Genomic DNA, 22,532 nt, shown 5'->3' on the forward strand with positions numbered 1-22,532 from the left:
GACAATCAGGGACATGAAAAGCTTGAGTTTGCTCATCTGACACTGGTGGTCCTCTTGTAAGATCCTCAAAGAGCAGTTCAGGATCAAAATTCTTTCCTGGACAGAACCACCAGTCTCCATTCTTTCATTTCTTTCTATAGTTTTTACCAGTTTACTTGTTGTTTTGTAGCTGCCCAATGGGTTCTTGCCTGCTGCCTAGACAGAGGGGATTTATCAACGGAGGAGAATTGCAATAGGGAAAGAGTAATTCACGCACAGCCGGCTATGTGGGAAACAAGAGTTTTATTGTTAAATGTTACTTAAATCAGTCTCCCTGAGAATTCGGGGATCAGAGTTTTTCAGGGAAGTTTGGTGGGTAGGGAGCCAGTGAGTCAGGAGTTCTGATTGGCCGGGTTGGAGATGGAAATCACAGTGAAGTGGCCTCGTTGTCTGGGGTGACATCCAGAGTTTTTGGTCTCATGGCCAAGGAAATCAAGGATGCAGACACTCCAAGGGTGAGGTTTAGAGCAGAAATTTAATAGGAGAAAGAAAGAGAACAGCTCTCTGCTACAGAGAGGGATCCTGGAAAAAGGGCTGCTGTTTTGCAAAGCTTTTATAAGAAACTGATGAGGGCTGGTCATCTCGTTTGCATAATGCACAAACTTCTGGTAGATCCAACCCATCCTCCTAATGCACACGTGGGCCCTTAACTTGAGTTACTCCATATTGCTTTGTTCCCCTTACTGCACATGTGTGAGGGAATGGAATTTTCCATTGCAGGTATGTCTTGGCAAGTCACTTGTGCATGCTTTCTTATCTGTGTGTCTATGGGCATGTCTTAGGCAAGCTCTCCCCACTCCCTTGCAAGCTCCCTTATCTGTGTCTGCAGGCTGTTCTTTTGTTTAAAATAATTCAGCTGAGGACCCACTCTAACTGCCTGCCTGACCAGGTTTTTTCCTTTCTCCTCTCTCAATAGGAACTCAAAGCTCTTCTCTTGTGCTGAGTCAGCTCCTGGGTGGGGACCACAAGATTAAATGAGCCAGTTTATGGATCGGGGTGGTACCAGCTGATCCATTGGGTGCAGGGTCTGCAAAATATCTCAAGCTCTGATCTTAGGCTTTACAATAGTGATGTTAACCCCAGGAGGAGTTTGGGGAGGTTGAGAATCTTGCAGCCTCTGCCTGTGACTCCTAAACCATAATTTCTAATATTTTAACTAACTTGTTAGTCCTACAAAGGCAGTCTAGTGCCTAAGCAAGAAGGAGGTTTGTTTTGGGAAAGGGCTGTGATTGTCTTTGCTTCAAACTATAAAGAATAAACTAAGTTCCTACCAAAGTTAGTTCAGCCTATGCCCAGGAGTGGAAAAGGACAGCTTGGAGGTTAGAAGCAAGATGGAGCTTGTTAGGTCAGATCTCTTTCACTTTCTCAGTTATGATTTAGCAATGGCAGTTTCAGTTTCATCTCTGTTTTCTTTTCTTCCTTGAGACTTTTTTTAAAAATTTATTTTGAGACTGAGTTTTGCTCTTGTTGTTGCCCAGGCTGGAGTGCAATGGCATGATCTTGGCTCACTGCAACCTCTGCCACCCAGGTTCAAGCGATTCTCCTGCCTCAGCCTCTCGAGTAGCTGGGATTACAGGTGTCCACCACCATGCCTGGCTGATTTTTTTGTATTTTTAGTAGAGACGGGGCTTCACCATGTTGGCCATGTCTCGAACTCCTGACCTCAGGTGATCGATCTGCCCACCTCAACCTCCCAAAGTGCTGGGATTACAGGAGTGAGCCATTGTGCCTGGGCCCCTAGAGACTTTAAGAGACCACATAGTCTTTAGTTGCTTTCATGAGAACCCAGAACATTAATGACTAGTGTTATTTTAGAATTACTATTCAATGCAGTATGCAGAAGGCAATGAAATATATTGTGCCAATTATAAAGGAGGAAGTAGAGTAATTATATCGGGGTGAAGGGACAATTTTGTAACTAAAACTTAAGAGAACCAAGCAGAAAGTAAGAATGGAGATGTTAAGTCAGTAAAGTAACATAGTTGGTTATGAAATTAACACACATATTCAATATATTCCCCACATCAAAGTAATAATCTGTTAGGAAATAAACTGACAGGAAAACAACTCATTTGTGTTACCAAATAGGCAAAATACAAATAAAATACTTCAAAACTAACTTAACAAGCCAGGTACAATATAAATTTAGAGAAAATGTTGAAACATTACTGGCGTATATTAAGTAAGTATTAAGTTAGTGGGAAAACATATTATTTTTTTCTTGGTGAGGAAGACTCTGTGTTGTAAAGATGTCAGTCTCCCTAAATTAATTTGTAAATTGAAGGCAATATCAATGTAAATGCCAACAGAATTTCTTTGAGTTCTAGAAAAGCTGATTTTAAAAGAAATGGGGGAGGAACAGCCCACCTATATATCCAGATTTATAACACTACATTTATTAAAGCTACTTGGGGTTGGCACAGAAATATACATAGAGAGTAATTGATGGGACAAACGGCCCATAAATAGATTGGTACACAGAAAGGAATTTGGTACATGACAAAGGGAGCACTGCAAATCAGTGAGGAAGAGAGAATGCATTTAACAAAAAGTTGTGTGTTCTGACCATTAGAGGGAAAAATACATGCATGTACACATATATGTGCATGTATACATATATATATTCATGCATACATGTATATGTAACTAAATTTGCTACTATATTTAGTAACTATGTACATATTTATACACATACAATATGCTAAATTCAACTATATAAGAATGCATATAGATGTAGATTTCTACTTATCTACTTGTGGTTTATATTCTTTCTTATATACAATTAAATTTAAGTGTAGAAATTCTAAAAGGGAGCAGAGTTTATTTTACAAACATGGTGTTGAAGTGGAGATAACTTTCAAAGAAAGACAGAAACCCTGTGCACCACAAAGATTGATGAATTTGGGCACAGATAAGTTTACAATTTCTATATTCAAAAATAAACTATAAATGAAATTAAAAGAGAAAAATTTAAAACCCTCATATCTGCTGGACTAGGTCGTACTGGATTTAAGGATAGGGATGCTTCCTTTCATTTACACAGTTGCTCAGTATCAACAGAACTCCTGGACCTTGTATGCTGTGTTCTAGGCAATTACTCTAGAAATGTCAGAGGCATTCATACCTGAGCAACTCCATCTTGAGATAGGGCTAGGAAAAATGAGGCTGGAACTTCCTGGGCTGCATTCCAAGGAGGTTAGGTACTCCTAGCCTCTAGATGTTTACGGTTAAGGGGAGAATAGATTAATAATGTTTACCAAACAGACCCAAATTCAGGAATGTACTGGATATCCCGATATCTTGACAACAAAAGCATTCCTAATTTTGCTTTAAAGACAATAATATCGATTCTTGCAAAATATAGTAAGGAAAATTAATCCCTTATCACAAATGCTTGTAATACAGCACATCTCCCCATGATTTTTTGTTATCCTCTATATAAACAAGCATTGTACCTAGGGTGGGCGCATTTCTCCTTTTACTTTCAGGAACAGCCTACTCTGTCTATGGAGGAGCTATTCTTTCACCACTTTACTTTCTTAACAAACTTGCTTTCGCTTTGCACTGTAGACTCGCCCCAAATTCTTTCTTGCAGGAGATCCAAGAGCTCTCTCTTGGGGTTTGGATTGGGACCCCTTTCTGATAGCAGAAACATTAGATTATCGATTGATTGTGTTAATCAGAATTCCATATTTTCAAACCTGAATTTTTTCCCCACATGCAGGCCAGGGGAATTGACTCATGTATCCTAAGGAAGTAAGACTCACTGAAAGTCCCAGAATTCATCCTTTCCCTTAACAGAAAATTAACTGTGGGATATGAGGGGGTAAAAAATCAACACCGTGAAAAGAGCTGGCTGAAGTATAAAAAAGTGGTCCAAGCTACAGAGCTCTCTGACTTATAGAAATTTTTTTTTGGTTTTATTTTTTTTTTTGGTAACTGTTTTATTCAGATATAATTCACCCATTTAAGGTGTAAAATTCAATGGGTTTTAGCACAGTAAAATGATTGTGCAACCATAATCACAACCTACTTTAGAATATTTTCATCATCCCCAAAAGAAATACTGTATTCGTCGGCTATTACCCTGCATTCCACCCCCATACCCCACCACAACCCCAGCCTCAGGCAAGCACTAATATATTGATGATCTCTATAGATTTGCCTGTTCTAGACATTTATATAAATATAATCAAAAGTGGTATTGTTTCTGGCTTATTTCACTTAGCATAATGTTTTCAAGGCACATGGATGTTGCAGCATGTACCAGTACTTCATTCCTTTCTATGGTTAGCTATTCCGTTGCCTGGCTATATCACATTTTGTTTATCCACCCGTCAATTAATGAACGTGTCAGTTATTCAACTTTGGTCTTCTTTTTTGAGAATGATTTGGCTATTCAGAGTGCCTTGCAATTCCATGTGAATTTCAGGATCAACTTTTTCACTTCTGACATAGTCCACTGGGATTTTGCTGGGGATTGTGGTGATTCAGGAGACCACCCTGTCAAATACAATCTTCTTAGCAATATCGGGTCTTCCAAACCTAGAACACAAGATGCCTTTCCACTTATGTAGGTCTTCATTAATTACCTTGAGCAAATGTTCGTACTTTTCAGAGTCTAAGTGTTGTACCGCTTTCTGTAATTTACTCCTAAGTAATGTATTTTATTTTTTGTTGCTATTGCAACTTGAATTATTTTTCGTAATTTTGTTTTTGGATCATCCATTGGAAGCATATAGAAATTCAATTGACTTTTTAAATATTGATCTTGCATCTTTAGAATTTTCTTGTTACAAGATCATGACATCTGCAAATAGATATTGTTTTACTTCTTCCTTGCCAGTATGCATGCCTTTCATTTTATTCCTTTTTTTTAATGACATAATTGCCTTGGCTAGAACCTCCAGTATAATGTTTAATAGAAGTGGTGAGAGCAGAAATCTTTGTCTTGTTCCTGATATTAGGGGAAAAGCATCCAGCCTTTCACCATTACGTATGATGCTAGCTCTTGTTGTTTTTGTATTTGTACTGCAGAGAATTTTGTTGGATTCCCATACATGGGGAAAGAGAAATAAAATCCGGTTCATGGTGTGTGTTCAAAATATGACATATATATTTCCATCCAGCTGTGGTGTGTGACTATTCAATAAATAATCTTAAACTTATGTTGATAATTATGAATTTTTAAATAACATTAGTAGAATTTAACATTTACCAAAATTAAAATTCAACGTTAATGCTTTCCCCAAAACAAACAACGACCAAAAAATTAAAAACAGACATTAGGTTTACTCCATGATATTAAAATACAAGTTTTATTTACAGTGCTATGAACCAAATGAGTGGTAATCTTAGAATTTATTTAAAATATATTAACAACATGGTATTTTAAAATTATCTTGAATAGCTTAATTAACTTGTCAGTTTCCTTAAAAAAAAAAAAAGTAATGCTACCTTACAACTATAAAGCACTTTTCCATTTATAAGAGAGTCTCATAATCATTACCTCATGTTAATCTCTCAATTTTGAGACAGGTAAAATGCATATGCATTTGAGGAATAAGGAGACTGGGTTTCAGAGACATTGCATATGGGTAGGAACATAGCTGTTTGCTGGCGAAGCTTGTGCTAAAAATGGACCCCCCTCATTCAGTTTTCTGAGGTCTCCTGTCCACTCAAAACTTGCTCTTCTTGATGTAATGTTTTCAGAATGGTCTGTCAATCTCATGCCACCTGTACTTTCCAGCACAGAGAGCACAAATGCACAAGGTTGAATTATTAAAAAAGTTAAATCACAGGAAATCAAAAGAACATTCAAGTATCACAAGAAATTAGGATGCAAAATAAAAGCTATATTTAAATACATGATTATGGGCTGTTGGCACTAACTCGTGTCATTTTTGTCATCAGGTGCTTTACTAGGGTGAGTTAATGATGTATATACATGAGTTCAAAACTTTTCTAAATACATATTTTAGGCAAAGCTATGTCAGTCTCCAGGATGGGATTCTATCTTGTCAAAAGTCTATGCAATCTATAACATTCCATAATTCAATTAATTTCAGAATATTTAAAGGGCTATTCATCATTTCTAGATTGGTGAAAATTCAACATATTGTCTTGTGCATTGAGTCTTAAGATATCTACATTATATTAAAGAATTCTGAGGCAGAAAAAAAAAACAGAGAGACTTTTCCTTGTAAAGGTGAGATTTCATGAGTTACCGGGCCTACAAAGTAAAAATGGTCTAGTCAATGGAAAAGGGGTTAAAAGACGATATTCATCCATGTTTAGGGATTTTTCTCTCTTTCTTTTTCTTTTCTTTTCTTTTCTTTTCTTTTTTTTTTTTTTTTTTTTTTTTTTGACAGGGTCTTTTTCTGTTGCCCCGGCAGAAATGTAGTCAGGGCCCACTGCAGCCTTGACCTCCCAGGCTCAAGGCATTCTCCTGCCTCAGCCTGTAGCTAGAACAACAGGCATGCGGACCATGCCCAGCTAATTTTTTATTTTTTGTACAGATGAGGGTCTCACTATGTTGCCCAGCTGGTCTCGAACTCCTAGACTCAAATGATTTTCCTGCCTTGGTCTCATAGAATTCTGAAATTACAGGTGTGAGCCACTGCACCCGGCTGGGATTTTTCACATTTAGGTCTAGGAAACATTTTTTTTTTTTTTTTGGTGGCTCCAATGCATGTATCAAGAATATAATGACACAGGTTTGTTTTATGGGATGACAGATAATTGCTCTGCAAGCATGCTGACAATCCTATAAGTATGATTTGCAGTAAGCCCCCAAACACATTTTCCCATGTGTCTTCTGTGATAACAATAGAAGGCCTTCCTGCTACTCATCCATGCACACAGGGCAAATTCTCTCATCCACAGTTGAAATAACCAGAGAATTTAGGCAGCACTTGGGGAGCCTGCAGTATAATTTTGAGAAGCACCCATAACTGCTAATGAGCTGATTGTTTCCAGTGAAATCGTAGGCACATTGTGAACTCTGAAAATTTGTTCTTTCTTTCTTTCTTCCTCTTTCTTTTCTTTCTTTCTTTCTTTTCTTTTCTTTCTTTCTTTTCTTTCTTTCTCTTTCTCTCTTTCTTCCTTTCTTTCTCCCTTCCTTCCTTCCTTTTCTTTTCTTTCTTTCTTTTTCTTTTTCTTTCTTTTCTTTTCTTTCTCTCTTTTCATTCTCTCTTTTCTTTCTCTCTCTTTCTTTCTCTTCTTTCTTTCCCTCCTTCCTTCCTTCCTTCCTTCCTTCTGTTTATGAGACAGAGTCTCACTCTGTCACTCAGGCTGGAGTGCAGTGGCACAATTTCGGATCAGCCTCGACTTCCTAGACTCAGGTGATCCTCCCATCTCAACCTCCTGAGTGGCTAGCACTACAAGCATGCACCACCAAGTCCTGCTCAGTTTTTGTATTTTTTGTAGAGACGGGGTTTCACCGTGTTGCCCAGGCTGGTCTCAAACTCCTGGCCTCAGGTAATCCTCCCATCTCAGATTACAGGTGTGAGCTACTGCACCTGGCCCCAAGAAATGATTTTCTTTTGAAAATGTCATCAGAATACATGATGAGTCACCCCAGAATTGCCCTCTGGCTCTTTGGTCTGCAGGTTCATCATGTCAGTATTCACAATAGCAAAGACATGGAATCAACCTAAATGGCCTATCAGTGGTGGACTGGATGGAGAAAATGTGGTACATATACACCATGGAATACTACACAGCCATAAAAAGAATGAAATCATGTTACTTGCAGCAGCATGGATTCAGCCGGGGGACATTATCCTGAGTGAATTAATGCAGGAACAGAGAACGAAATACCCAAACACTGCATGTTCTCACTCACAAGTGGGAGCTAAACATGGGTACTCATGGACCTAAAGATGGAAACAGCAGACACTGGATTAGTAGAATGAGGAGGAAGAGAGGGTGGCAAGGTTTAGAAAAGTAACTGTTGGGTCCAATGTCACTACTTGGGTGATGGGATCATCTGTGCCACAAACCTCAGTGTCACACAATATACCCAGGTAACAAACCTGCACATGTACTCCCTGAATCTAAAATAAAAATTGAAATTAAAAAACACAGCGTATTTACATGTTTAAAGCCTTTCCTGTACGTTGCTGTATTTTTTTTCCAGAAACTTACAGCAATTTATCTCCCACCAGAAACCGTGGGGTGTCGTTTACTTCCCTCAGATGCCACTAATATTTTTTTCCAATGGAGTGGTAAAACATTTTCACTTTTAGTAAGACCACAACACCAAGGCCAACAGGGCTACTGATGTCCAGTTCCTAAGTTTACTCTCTGCCCTGCATCTCTCCTGTACCTTTCTTTCACAGCTTCTCTATCAATACTATGAACTCCAGTCCCTGCAGAATGCAGCAGTTTCTTGAATGAATGCTTTATGACCTTTTGTTCTTCCCAGCATTTGCAGGTGCTATCCCCTTGGTCTGGCATGTTCTTATCCACCCTTTGCTACTTATCCTTTTCTTGCTCCAGCTTCTTGATGCAATTGGGATTTTGCTTTCTTGTCTTGGCTGTTTCATTTTATGCGTCGACTTGCCCGGGGTTAAGGTGCGCTCCTGTTTTGTCAGAGACCAGTTGCGATGATGCTGTGAAGGTATTATGTAGGTATGATTAACATTTACAATAATATGCTTTGACAAAAGCAGAATGCCCTCTGTGATGTGTGTGGGTGTCTTAGTCCACTTGAACTGCTATTACAAAAACACCATAGACTAGGAGGTTTACACAACAGACATTTGTTTCTCATAGTTCTAGAGGCTGGCAGTCCAAGATCAAGGTGTGCCAGATTCTGTGTCTGGTGAGGGCTCTCTTCCTGGTTCATAGATGGCAGTTTCTTGCTGTGTCTACACATGGTGGAAGGAGTGAGGGAGCTTTCTACAGTCTCTTTCATAAAGGCACTAATCCCATTCCTGTGGGCTCTGCCCTCATCACTTCCCAAAGCCCTCACCTCCTAACATCATCACCTGGGGAATTAAGATTTCAATGTATGAATTTTGTAGGGGACACGCACATTCATTCTGTAACAGAGGGCTTCATTCAATCATTGAGGGCTTTAAAAGCAAAAACTGAGGATTCCTCAAGAAGAAGGACTTCTGCCTCCAGCCTGCAACATAGAAGTCCTGCCTACACTTCAAACTTTCAGATTGGTTCTATTTAAGTTACTGGAGAAATCTCCAAACTGCTTTCCACAGTGACTGAACTAATTTACATTCCCAACAACAGTGTATAAGCATTCCTTTTTCTCCATAGTGTTACCAACATGTTATTTTTTCACCTTGTAATAATACTCAATGAATACCCTTTGACTTAGCAATCCCATTCCTAGAAACATAGGTTATGCAAATAGTCACTGATGGGTGCAAAGATTTAATTGTATGTTCTTCCAAGTTTTGTTTATTCACAGTGAAGAGGTGGACAGACACTGAATATCCCAAATGGAGAATTGGGGTAAAACTAAAAGTAGTTGAAAGCCAATGCAACTATTTCATGATAGTGTTCCAGGAAAACTAATGAGAGAGGGGGTCACCAGTGTAATACATGAATTAACAAAAGAAGTCAAAATGATTTTGTGTATGTAAACATAGCTGCAGATACACAGCTACAGATACAGATACAGTCATAGATATAACTATAAAGATGTATGCCCAATAGATAACAGTGGTGCAATTACAAGTAATTTAATTCTTTCTTTGCACATGTCTGTCTGTATTAAATATATTTTTAAATGACAACCAGTAGTAACTGTAGTGGAGAAACCTGACAAATACTCCTTCAGCTGGGTGATCAACGTCAAGGTCAACAGAAATAAGTGATGTTGGTGGGACGCTTCTTTGCTAGGATGTGATTAATACCGTACTTTACCTCTGCCTTTCTTTAAAAAACCTATAACCCTAGCCTAAACATGAGAAAACCATCAGAAAAATTGCAACTAAGGGTCATTCTACAAAGAAACCTGAGCTGTACTCTCCAAAACTGTCAAGATCATTGAAAACAAGGAAAGTCTGAGAAACTGCCACAGTTAAAAGGAACCTAAGAGGAAAAGATGATTAAAGATGTAGGGTACCCTGAAAGAGACCCTGGAACAGAAAGAGACTGTTAGGCAAAAAGGAAGGAACTCTAAATAATATACGGATGTTAGTTAATGATAGTGTAACAGTTTGGGTTAATTAATTGTGACAAATATACGAAACACTGTGCAGAGATGAACTTTGTGAGGGGAAGGAACTTCACCATAATGAGTCTGTTTTCTAGAGTTAAAGAGCTTTCCAGTTTCAGCCCCTTCATTCCATCTTCCTACTCTTCCCCCACTGCCCACAAAGGTGCATAAGGGGGTGGTCTCATTTGAAATTAAAATCGACCCCGGAGTCTACAACAGGCATCTTTTATAAACTTTCAGTCTGAACTGTGTGAAGTTTTGTTTCCCATCCCCATCCATAAATAGCTGTCTGTAGTAATTTCTCTCCATTCCTGTGCCCCCTTTTGAACTCCAATATCAACTAGCAGTTGTAGGAATAGGGCGGGAGACACTTCTTGTATCTTAATTATAATTTCCTATAACATATCACAGATCAGGTGAGCTGGCATCTGTCCTTCCTTAACCTTCTTCTGGGCTGGGGACAAACCAAGGCTTGGCTGCATCTCTGACCTCCCAGCTGGTGCAAGTCCCAGCCCACGATGATGTCACAGTGCTGTGGTTATGCATATCTGTGATATCAGGGGTGTTTAGGCGATGAACTGTGTATTAGTCTGTTCTCAAGCTGCTAATAAAGACATAGCCAAGACTGGGTAATTTATAAAGGAAAAAGGTTTAATTGACTCACAGTTCCACATGACTGGGGAGGCCTCAAAATCATGGCAGAGGAGCAAGGGATGTCTTACAGGGTGGCAGGCAAGAAGAGAGAATGAGAGCCAAGTGGAAGGGGTTTATCCCTTATAAAATAATCAGATCTTGTGAGACTTATCCACTACCACAGAACAGTATGGGAGAAACTTCCCCCATGATTCAGTTATTTCCCACTGAGTTCCTCCCACAACACATGGGAATTATGGGAGCTACAATGCAAGATGAGATTTTGGTGGGGACACAGCCAAACCATATCAAACTGTGATGCTTGAAATTAGGAAAATGTACCCTCTGATGCATCTCGAATTTTGGCTATGAATATTTTCACAGTTGCTGAAGCACATGGCTGAAACGCTTTCCCAAAGAGTTGTGCCAGTTTCTACTCCAAACAGCATTAGAGGTAGGAGCATTTTTTCTTAAATTGCATTTAGGAACAGATAGGAGGGGTAGAAGTTCGAGGAGAGGGCAAATAGCTGTCAAGTAATGGAAAGAATATTGGAGCATGTTTCAGGTGAATGAACTTTAGTCCCTGGGCTCTCTGCACCATGATGGTATCTTCATTCAGGCCAGTGACTGTGAGGTTCTGTGTTTTCTTTTACAAAGAGGAATCTGGACCTGCTGCCTCCAAAGTTGCCTCTGGTTCTGAAATTTTATGGCTACGATTCTATCACAAAATTCACAACGATGCTGGAGTGGTTCTGCTGTGACCAAAGGGGGAGTTAAATCATCGTAAACCCAAAAGGATGCATAATGGAATTATCATAGGATTTGAATTATGTACTTATTATTTGCCATGTAAGGGCATGCTTTTGGGAGACATGACTGGATCCAAAAATGTGAAACGTGTTGGGTTTCGTTGGGTAGTCCTGACTGATTTATTCATTCAATTAAAAATGGGTTTAGCATCCTGTCTGTATTTGGAGTCGATATTACCTTGAAGGAACAGAAGAGAGAAGAAAAAAGAAGAAAAAGACGACAAATGAAGGGGAAGGAAAGGAGGAGAGATTGAAGCATCGTGTGGAAATGGGGATAAGAGGCTGTGCGTCAAGGAATGAGGGTAGCCTCTAGAAATTGGAATAGACCAAAGAATAATCTCCCCTAGAGCCTCCAAAAGGAATGATATCCCGCCAATACCTTGATTTTAGCCCAGTGATAGCATGTCAGAATCTTGACCTCAAGACTGTAAGATAATAAATTTGTGTTGTTTTAAGCTGGCAAATGCATGGTGCTTTTCTACAGAAGCAGTAAAATACTAATAGAGTTTAGCTCTCTGATGAATGGTTTCTGTCCCCTTATGAGAAAACTCCCATTTCTGTAAAGGAACAAAACTCTAGAAATCAGTCTTGATGAGGACTGGCCGTTTCTACTTATCCAGATGAATGGATTCGTGCAGTTCTGGTCAGGACGGATCACCAGGGAAATTTCCTGGCTCCACGCCCTGTTCAGAATTCCTTGGAGTTAGCAGGTACAAGAATTTACTGTCCTTGATGGTACCTTGTGTTGCATCGGATTTCTTAATTAAAGACGAGATATTTTAATACAAAAATGATACGTTAAAGTGACGACATCGTTTAGCCTTAATACGTGATCAAATGTGGAGCATGTTTTTTCTTAAATGGTTAAAAATTCTGTTAAAATTTTCCTAGATGTTCTTTTATACACAGCCTCAGCTACAAATTTATGTATTTCTAAAGCAAAGGAAGGTTTCTCTTTAGATTAAGGTCATTTCTCTTCTCTTTTCCTTTTCTTCTCCTACAATGCACATACGCATATATTGGTAATTTGTATCATACAAGAGTATGAATTGAGAATGTTTAAATGGTAATTTTCATACAATAAAAAAAGAAGAAATAAGACTGTGAATAATCAACTGGACACAATAATAGAAAACAGTAGTTGCTAAGCTGTAGTCGCCAGACCAGAAGGTTGATGATCTGGGAATTTGTTTAAAAGGCACATTTTTAGCTGAGGCAGGCGGGTTGCTGGAGGCCAGGCATTTGAGAGCAGCCTGGGCAACAGAGGGTGACTGCATCTCTACAAAAAATTTTTAAAAGTTAGCTGGGCATGGTGGTGAAACCTATAATTCCAGCTACCTGGGAGGTTGAGGTTGGAGGATCTCCTGAGCCCAGGACTTGGAGGCTGCAATAAGCTATGATTGCGCCACTACGCTTTAGCCTGGGCGACAGAGTGAGACCCTGTCTCTAAATAATAAAACAAAGGCACGTTTTCAAATCTCTGCCCAGACTTCCGCAGAGAAGCTATAGAATTCAGACATAGAATGAATCTTGGCTATAAGGCAGAACCATGTGATTGCTTCAAAGATGAGGTCAAATACTGCATCCATGCAACGGCAGAGATCTAAGGGTTTTTAAGGTTTCCACCCACTCCCACCTCCAAAATTCCTATTGTACTAGAGTTATCCTTTTTATTTGGCCTTTAAGAATAAAAAATTATATATATATATATATGTGTGTGTGTGTATGTGTATATATATTACACACATTTATGTATATATTTTATACACACACACATATGTATATCTTACTATTGGAAGTGTAATTCTTGAAAGAGAGCTTGTAGAAAATGCCAAATTTCAGGATGCAAACTGGACCTATTATGGAATCTGCATTTGAGTTTTCCAGGTGACTCATATACCCATTAAAAATGGAGAAACATGGCATGTAATCCCAACACTTTGAGAGGCTAAGGTGGGCAGACCACCTGAGGTGAGGAGTTTGAGATCAGCCTGGCCAATATGGCAAAACCCTGTCTCTACTAAAAATACAAAAATTAGCTGGGCATGGTGGCGAGTGCCTGTAGTCCCAGCTACTCGGGAGGCTGAGGCAGGAGAATCGCTTGAATGCCGGAGGTGGAGATTGCAGTAAGCTGGGATCGTGCCACTGCACTCCAGCCTGGGTGACAGAGTGAGACTCCATCTGAAAAGAAAAAAGAAAAATGAGAAACAATGCTTTAAAAGACTCTACTCCTTGAAATGTTGAAGCTACTTCCTCATCCTAAGATATGTGTCTTCTTATTTATTTTTATTTTATTTTGAAGAACTGCAAAGAGAGGAAAATCTTTAAAGTGATCATTATCACTACCTAATTTCTTGTGTTTTAAAAATCAATAATTTACTATTGTATTAGTTTACTTTTTTTTTAAAGCAGTAGGGAGAAAGCCCCATTTTCCCTGTTTTATATCTACAAATATGATACAGAATGAAAAAAAATCATTTTTTGACATTTGAAAACATTTTTCCTGATGTTAATTATTAAATTAAAGGATTCCAGCTGGTAGTTTCACTGGTGATCATTTTTCCTTTTTTCCAAATTGTCGAAGAATAAACCTACCCAAGTGGATACCTTGATTTGATACCTGGGGTTAGCAAAGTTTCAAGTCCCATCACAATGACAGGAGAGTATTTATTCTCACTGTTGGTGGCATTATACTCATTCATACATTTACCATGCCTTCCAGATTTTTCCTCTTCCTGTAAATCAATCAGGGTAATGTCATCAGAGCAGAACTCCTAGAAAACGTATGTGTGTGTATATATGTACATATGTGTGTGTGTATATATGTATATATGTGTGTATATATGTGTGTTTATATATATATATATATATGTATGTATAATATATTTGTTACAGAGATTTCACTTTAACAACTTAAGGAACTGTTTGAGCTGCCTACCTAAGCCTGTTGTCTTTGCAAATTTAATGCTGGAGCCAAACGTCTATAGGGCAGGTGGTTAGGAAGGGAAGATGCCCGTGAAGTGGGAGAGATTGGGAACAGTCTGGAGTCCACAAGTGGGACTTGCAGCCATACAAAGATGGTGCTGCTACGGTCTGAATATTTCCATTTCCTCAAAATTTACATGTTGAAATCCTCATCCCCATAGTGATGGTATTAGAAGGTGGGGCATTTGCCAAGTGATGAGGTCATGCAGGTGGAGCCTCATCAATTGGATGAGTGTCCTTGTAAAAGAGACCCCAGAGTGCTCCCTTACTCCTTTGACCAGATGAGGACACAAGAAGAAGGAGCCATCTATGGACCAGTGGGTCCTCATCAGACACAGAATCTATCAGTGCTTTGATCCTCAACACCCAGCCTCCAGACCTGTGAAAATTAAGTTTCTGTTGTTTCCAAGCTCCAAGTCCATAGTATTTTATTTAACATCCCAAATGGACTAAGACAAATGGACTAAAACATATGTCTTATCGTTGCCTCTGACCTTGGTAATGAAGAACTGCAGAACTGCAGAATCCAGAAGCCTGCCTTACAGAGCTAAACACACACACCTGGCTTAGGAATCAGAGATGCCAAAGGAGGATCCAGGAACAGGTGGGGCAGTTGCAGACCTGGCTGCTGCTTCCTGCTAACAAGGTGATTCAGCACATCTGTGACTAAGTGTGTGACCTGCAAAGTGGCTGCTGCTTTCTTTCTACATTCCTCGTCCTCCAAGAATCTCCCTTGCGGAAATTCATGCAGAAAGGGGAAATATGTAAGAAAGAGAGTTCTTGGAAATTTAATTCAGCAAAGCCAAATTAACACATTACAAAGCCACTGACGTCTATCCACTCCTCGCTGACTTCTCCGAGTTTATACAGCATTTAATGACCTGGATCTCACCATTTCATATGGGTAAATTGAAACTTAACCAAACCCAAACTTTCTTGCTCTGACTCAAGTGACCTTTCAGAATCCAAACCATGTAAAAATGCCCAAATAAATGTCCTATGATAGGACCATGTTTTCCCAACTTATGTGTCCAGTTCTGATCCTTAAAGAGACTTCACTAAAACTCATGTCTCCTTTAAATCCTAAGATAGCTACAGCTGGATGATTTTAGGTTATAACTTTTGGATTGAAATTATAGAATGATGGAAGGGGCAATATGAACATTTATATGCAAAAGGGTTCAAGGCAGAAAATGACTGGGTAATCAGAATTCAACTCCTAGTTCTTCATTTGGTCCATTTGAAAAATCGGGCCTCTTTGTCCTACTCTCCAGGGAAATACCTGATACACATCCAGTTTCAAAGAGGAGATGTTAAGAAATGCCTTCCTCTAAATTCACTAGATGTATTCATTTCTGGACACTGACCTTATTCCTCTATCAGACCATTTAACATTTTCCCTTTAAGTACATGTTTATCTTTTTCCTCTGAAAAGAAAAAAAAAAAGCTCTTTTCTTTGGTTAGTAAGTAGCTGGAGGGTGGATAATTACTCTGTATGTATTTAGTCGCAAGTATCATTAGAATTCTGAATTAAAAATAAGATTAATGATTTAATTTCAATCTTGTCAGGATGACCCATTTAAAAAATACTGATGTGATATAATGCTATAAAAGATTTAAGCATAATTTATTGATAAAACCATTACAACTGGAATGAGAGAGCTATTTGTCTACATAATGGTTCCTGAAATCACAGATAGTACTTTCCCATTATTCCACTGCAACATTTATAATTCCTTTTTAGATTTACCATTTTTTCAAACAACCACATATGGTACTTATTATATGCCAGGAAGTGTTCAAAGGGTCTTACAAATACTAACTCATTTAGTCCTCACAATGACTTAACAAAGCAGCACTATTGCCTTCCCTACATTGTGCATAAGAAAATGGCAGCATGGGCCGGGTACTGTGGCTCACCCCTGTAACCCCAGAACTTTGGGACGCTGAGGTGGGTGGATCATGAGGTCAAGAGATAGAGACCATCCTGGCCAACATGGTGAAATCCCGTCTCTACTAAAAATACAAAAATTAGCTGGGTGTGGTGGCACGCACTTGTAGTCCCAGCTATTCGGGAGGCTGAGGCAGGAGAATCGCTTGAACCCGGGAGGCGGAGGTTGCAGTGAGCCGAGATCACACCACTGCACTCCATCCAGCCTGGCAACAGAGCGAGACTTCTTCTAAAAAATAAAAATAAAATAAAATAAAAATGGCAGCATGACAAGCATGGGTAACCTGCCCAATTGAACACAGCAGATGAGTTTTGGAGCCATGATACAAACCAGAGTCTGGCTGCCTAACCATGGCTCCATATTGTTTCTGCATTGTAGATAAACCAGTGAGAACTTGGACTGATGGCAGTAGTTAATGCACCTTTGCATTTGAGAAAGTAGCTGGGTGGCAAGATTATTGGTGTGAAAAATTCTCAAATATATAAAATTCATATTTCTCATAAATCAAACATTGCATAAATTTTCTCTTCCTTGGGATTTATATAAATTTAGGTGTAGAAAGTTAATGTAGAAGTTGCACTTTTGGCTAAGAGGGGGTAAACAGGCAATTACCTTCCCATCAGAAAGAAACAAAGACGATATGTGAAACTATGGTTTTTAAGACACTGGATATCAATCAAAAGATAAGTGATTCCAGAAAGAGAGCTAATAAATGAGGTGAATACTTTTTATTGCATAGCTCCCACATTGAGAGAGATTCCAGGCAATGGTATGAGGAGGGGAACTTACACAGAACCAGTGGACTGTCTGATTTGAAGTGATGAACCTGGTAGTTTAGAGAGAACAAGGCAGCTAGAATTTGAAGCACAGGGTTACAGGAGAGAAGAGAGATGTACAGAGAACTGCCCCCTCAAAAAAAAAAAAAAAAAAAAAAAAAAAAAAAAAAAAAAGCCTGCATGCAGAGTGTCCCTGTTGAGTATTTAACCAATTGCTGATGCAGCATGCATATGAGAAAATTACACAAGGATGGAGATATAAACATCCAAAAGAATCAGCACACTGTTCAAGGTTCACAAAGGGCTGTAAATGATGCCTGTTTTCACCAGCCAGAAGGAAAAAAAATTCCCTAAATACATGAGACACTGTATAAAGTTTTGAGGTTGGTCTTGCTTTAGTAAGGAAGAAAAGATTAGCAACAACCTGAGTTCTAATCAGGTCCTGCCTAACAAACCTGAAAAGCAAGACTCTAAGAGATCAATCTCATTCAAAATTCCTTAACTCAAGCGCAGAATAAAACCTAAGAAATTTTAGAGGAATAAAAAAAAAACAAAAACCCAACCCCCAAAGTGGTAAAATTCACTGTCTCTGGCATTCAAAGCTTACAGCATTTGGGCCTGTCGCAGTGTTGGAGACCAGCCTGGCCAACATGGTGAAACCCCGTCTCTACTAAAAATACAAAATTTAGCTGGGTGTGGTGGCTGGCGCCTGTAGTCCCAACTACTCAGGAGGTTGAGGGAAGAGAATCGCTTGAAGCCGGGGGAGGCAGAGGTTGCAGTCAGCCAAGATCGCACTACTGCACTTCAGCCTGGGTGAAAAGCAAGACTCTGTCTCAAAAAAAAGAAGAAGGAAAAAAAGCTTACTGCATTTGAATGAATAGCAATGGAAACTGTCTAAAATGAAACACACAGAAGAAAAAAAAAGTAAAAACGAAAAGAACATCAGTGAGCTGTGGGACAACTTCAAGTATCCTAATGGGTGAGTAATTGGAATACTCAAAGGAAAAGAAAGGGGAGCAGACACACACACACACACCCACACACACACACACACACACACACACACACACACACTTCAAGAAATAATGGCCAGAAATTTTCAAAAAATTTGAAAAAGCTATCAGCCTATTGACACAGTAATCTCAACCAACTCTAAGCACAAGGAAGCTGAGAAAAACTTTGCCAAGGCACATCATAATCAAACTGCTCAAAACTAGTGATAAAGACAAAATATAACTATTAGCCAGAGGAAAAAAACACATTATGTATAGAGGAGCAAAGATAAGAATAACTTTGGATTTCTTGTCACTAATAATGTAAGCAAAAAGAGAAGAAACATACTTACGGTACTTCTAATAAGTATCTATATTTTTGCTGGTTATAGAAGTCTATACTTATTACAGGTGATAAGTCTATACTTAGGCTGCGTGCAGTGGCTCATGCCTGTAATCCCAGCACTTTGGGAGGCCGAGGTGGGTGAATCACTAGGTCAGGAGATGGAGACCATCCCGGCTAACACAGTGAAACCCCGTCTCTACTAAAACAGAAAATACAAAAAATTAGTCGGGTGTGGTGGTGGGTGCCTGTAGTCCCAGCTACTCGGGAGGCTGAGGCAGAATGGTGTGAACCTGGGAGGCAGAGCTTGCAGTGAGCGGAGATTGTGTCACTGCACTCCAGTTTGGGAGTCAGAGAGAAACTCTGTCTCAAAAATCAATCAATCAATCAATCAATCTATACTTATTACAGATAATAAGTACAGTCTTCTATACCCAGCAAAAATATCTTCAAATCAAACAACAGTGAAGAAAAGACACTTCTAAACATTTAAAACCAGAAATAATTCATGATCAGCAGACATGCAGTACAATGCATGTCCAAAGAATTCCTTTAGGCAGAGGGATTGATATTAGATGGAAATTTCAATTGTACACAAAAGCAGGAGAAGCAGCAGAAATGGTAGATAATTGATAAAACTATAAGACTTTTATCTTTTTATGTGTTTTAAACAGATAATTGATTAAAGAAATATAGGAATGTATTGTGAGGTTTATAAGATATTTAGAAGTAAAATGCATTACAACGATAGCATATTCTGGGAAGGAAAAGTGGATGTATACTATCATATAACATTGCACAAAAGGCAGCACAAGGAAAGAAAACAACAGACTGATATTCCTCATAACCATAGAGACAACATTTCTAAATGCATTTTTAGCAAATTGTAGCAAAACTACATAAAAAGATTATTAAATCATGACCAGGAGGGATAATTCTAAAAATATAAGGTTGTTTTAACATTCAAACCAACCAATGCCATATTAACATTAAACAAAATTGCCTTAATATTTGAATAAAAATAATTATTGAAATTCAGCATCCACTCCTGATTTTTAAAAATTGTTATCAAAATTAGAAAAGGAATCAATTTTCTCAACTTGATAAAGAGCATCTACATAAAACCTGCAACTAATAACATAATGGTGAATTATTCTTTCCCTCCACCCACAAGTTGGAAACAAGACAAGTATGTCTGCTCTCACAACTTCTACTCACCATTGTACTGGAGATTGTAGCCAGTAAAATAAGGAAAACGAAAATTCTCCAGATTGGAAAGGAAGAGTCAAAACTGTCTTCCTTTGCAGATGACATGGTCATCCATGTAGAAGATCTGACTGAATATACCAAACAGTTACTATAATTATTAAGTGCATTTAGAAACATTTCAAGATAAAGATCAATAGACAAAAAATAAATTGTATTTCTATATCCTAGCAATGAGCATTTGAAAACTGAAATTAAGAAAACAAAACAACAACCACATCAACAATATGAAATTCTTAGGGATAATTCCTACAGAAGATGTTCAAGAAAGTCTTGTGCACTGAAAACTACAAAACTTTACTGAGAAGTTAAAGAAAACCTTAATCAATGGGGAGATATACTTTGCTCATGGTTGGGAAGACTCAGTGTGGTCAAGATATTGGTTCTGCCCACATTGATTGATAGATTCAACACAATCCCAGTCAAAATCCCAGCTAATTTTTTTCTCAAAATTGACAAGCTTATTCTACAATTTATTTGTAAATTTTAAAAACCTGGAATAGCTACAAAAAATAAAAAAAGAACAAATTTGAAGGTCTAACACTACTTAATTTCAAGATATACATAAGCTATAGTAATCAAGACATCACAATATTGCCATGAAGATGGACAAACAGATCAAGGAAACAGAGTAGATACTTGAGAAACAGACCCACAAATACACAAAAACTTCACTTCTACACATAAATACACACACACACACACACGCACACAAAGAGTTAACTGGACATTTGCAGGACACAAGGAGCAGGTATTTGGAATATATGCCACGAGCCTATTTTTTAGGCTTCTGTGCAGATGAAATAATCAATACTGTTTCCAACTAAGCCTATATTTCTTCTCAACAAAGAATATAATGTAGCCATTTCTAGCTGATCATAGATTGACATTGGACAAATCAAAGTTGGCATCTCTGATGTTGACCAACTCATGTCTCATCTTAGAGGTGATAAAGTCAAGGCACAGGTAGTTGATAGTAATTAGAAGAATATTCAGGACAAGAAGTCGATAGCTTAATTCCAATCCAGAGTCCTCTACATGACAGGCCAGAAGATAGACTGAATGGGTATATAAGACTATGGGGGATGGGTGCAGAGTATGATGCAGGCAAAAATAAAAAGCTAAATTGTCTAAAATTAGACTTGTACCACAGAATACTTTGATTCGATCCATTTTCAAATTTGATGACCTATGATATTTATGATCTAATATATTGAACATGTTAAATAAGAAATTCTAATTATATTTTAGCAGAAAGTATATATCAAGCAAATTGTATTCCCTTTTCTGTTTTATTGATTTATCATATCATCTAAATGATTTTCCAATTCTCTAAAAACATAAATTTAAGATTAAGTTGTGTCTGTATACATATTTTTCCTTAATAGACTCCCTGTCAATAATCTATTTTCAAATGATGAATCTTGGTAAATATACTTAAACTCTTTTTGTAAAAAAATTTTTGAGACACTCTTGCTTCGTTGCCCAGGCTGAAGTACAGTGGCATGATCTCAGCTAGCTGAAACCTCCACCTCCCAGATTCAAGCGATTCTCATTCCTCAACCTCCTGAGTAGCTGGGACTACAGGCACGTGCCATCATGCCCTCCTAATTTCTGTATTTTTAGTAGAGATGGGGTTTCACCATGTTGGCCAGGCTGGTCTCGAACTCCTGACCTCAAGTGATCCTCCTGCCTCGGCCTCCCAAAGTGCTGGGATTACAGGCATGAGCCACCGCACCTGACCTTGAACTCATTTTTAAGAGAAATTAAGATATACAGTGAATATATGTCATGACAGTCCTATATGCACTCATAATTCATTAACAATTTATATCCATTTATAATATTTTCATAATAAAATTCAATTTTAATTATTTTTTGTAATAGAAAATTGGGAAGATAGGAATTAGGGCAGAGTATACATCCTAACTTTTTTAGGGTCTGATTGCTTAAAACCCTAAATATTTGCCTCTTTCTTATGAATCTTGCTAAATAAAAAATTGGGAGTTTTGATCAGTGAAGATTTTTACCATACTTACACATTGCTAACCATTGGCAACAGAAAATTTATCAGAAAGCTTTTTATGTTGCATTGATAGGAACAGTTAAAAATATGAATTAAAATACTTTCATTGCAAGGAGATTTAAAAAATGATTTACTAACAATCTGTTATCAATTATACCCATGATAAACTCATAGGTGCTTTTAAGAGTATATTTTACAGCAGGAAACATACTTCAGACAGCTCTTACTCATTTAAAAATTCTTATGAACTATCCAGGCTAGACATAGGGGCTACGTGGAGACAGAATATTTGGTTAAATATGTGCTTTTTTAATGACAGTTCGGGTCAGGTCATTACTTGGAACAACAATACATGTAAATTGGCAACAGGGACTTAGGTGAGACAGCCGTTCCCTCCTCCTGAGATTAATTGAACATAAAATTACCTTACCTGAGAGTGAAATATATTATCAGCAAGCCAAATAATTCTCCATCAGGTTTTCATTTGTTTATAAAAACAGTAATAAAGCATTTCACTCTAAAAGC

This window comes from Homo sapiens, chromosome X (genome assembly GCF_000001405.40).
Source record: "Homo sapiens chromosome X, GRCh38.p14 Primary Assembly".
Taxonomy (NCBI): Eukaryota; Metazoa; Chordata; class Mammalia; order Primates; family Hominidae; genus Homo; species Homo sapiens.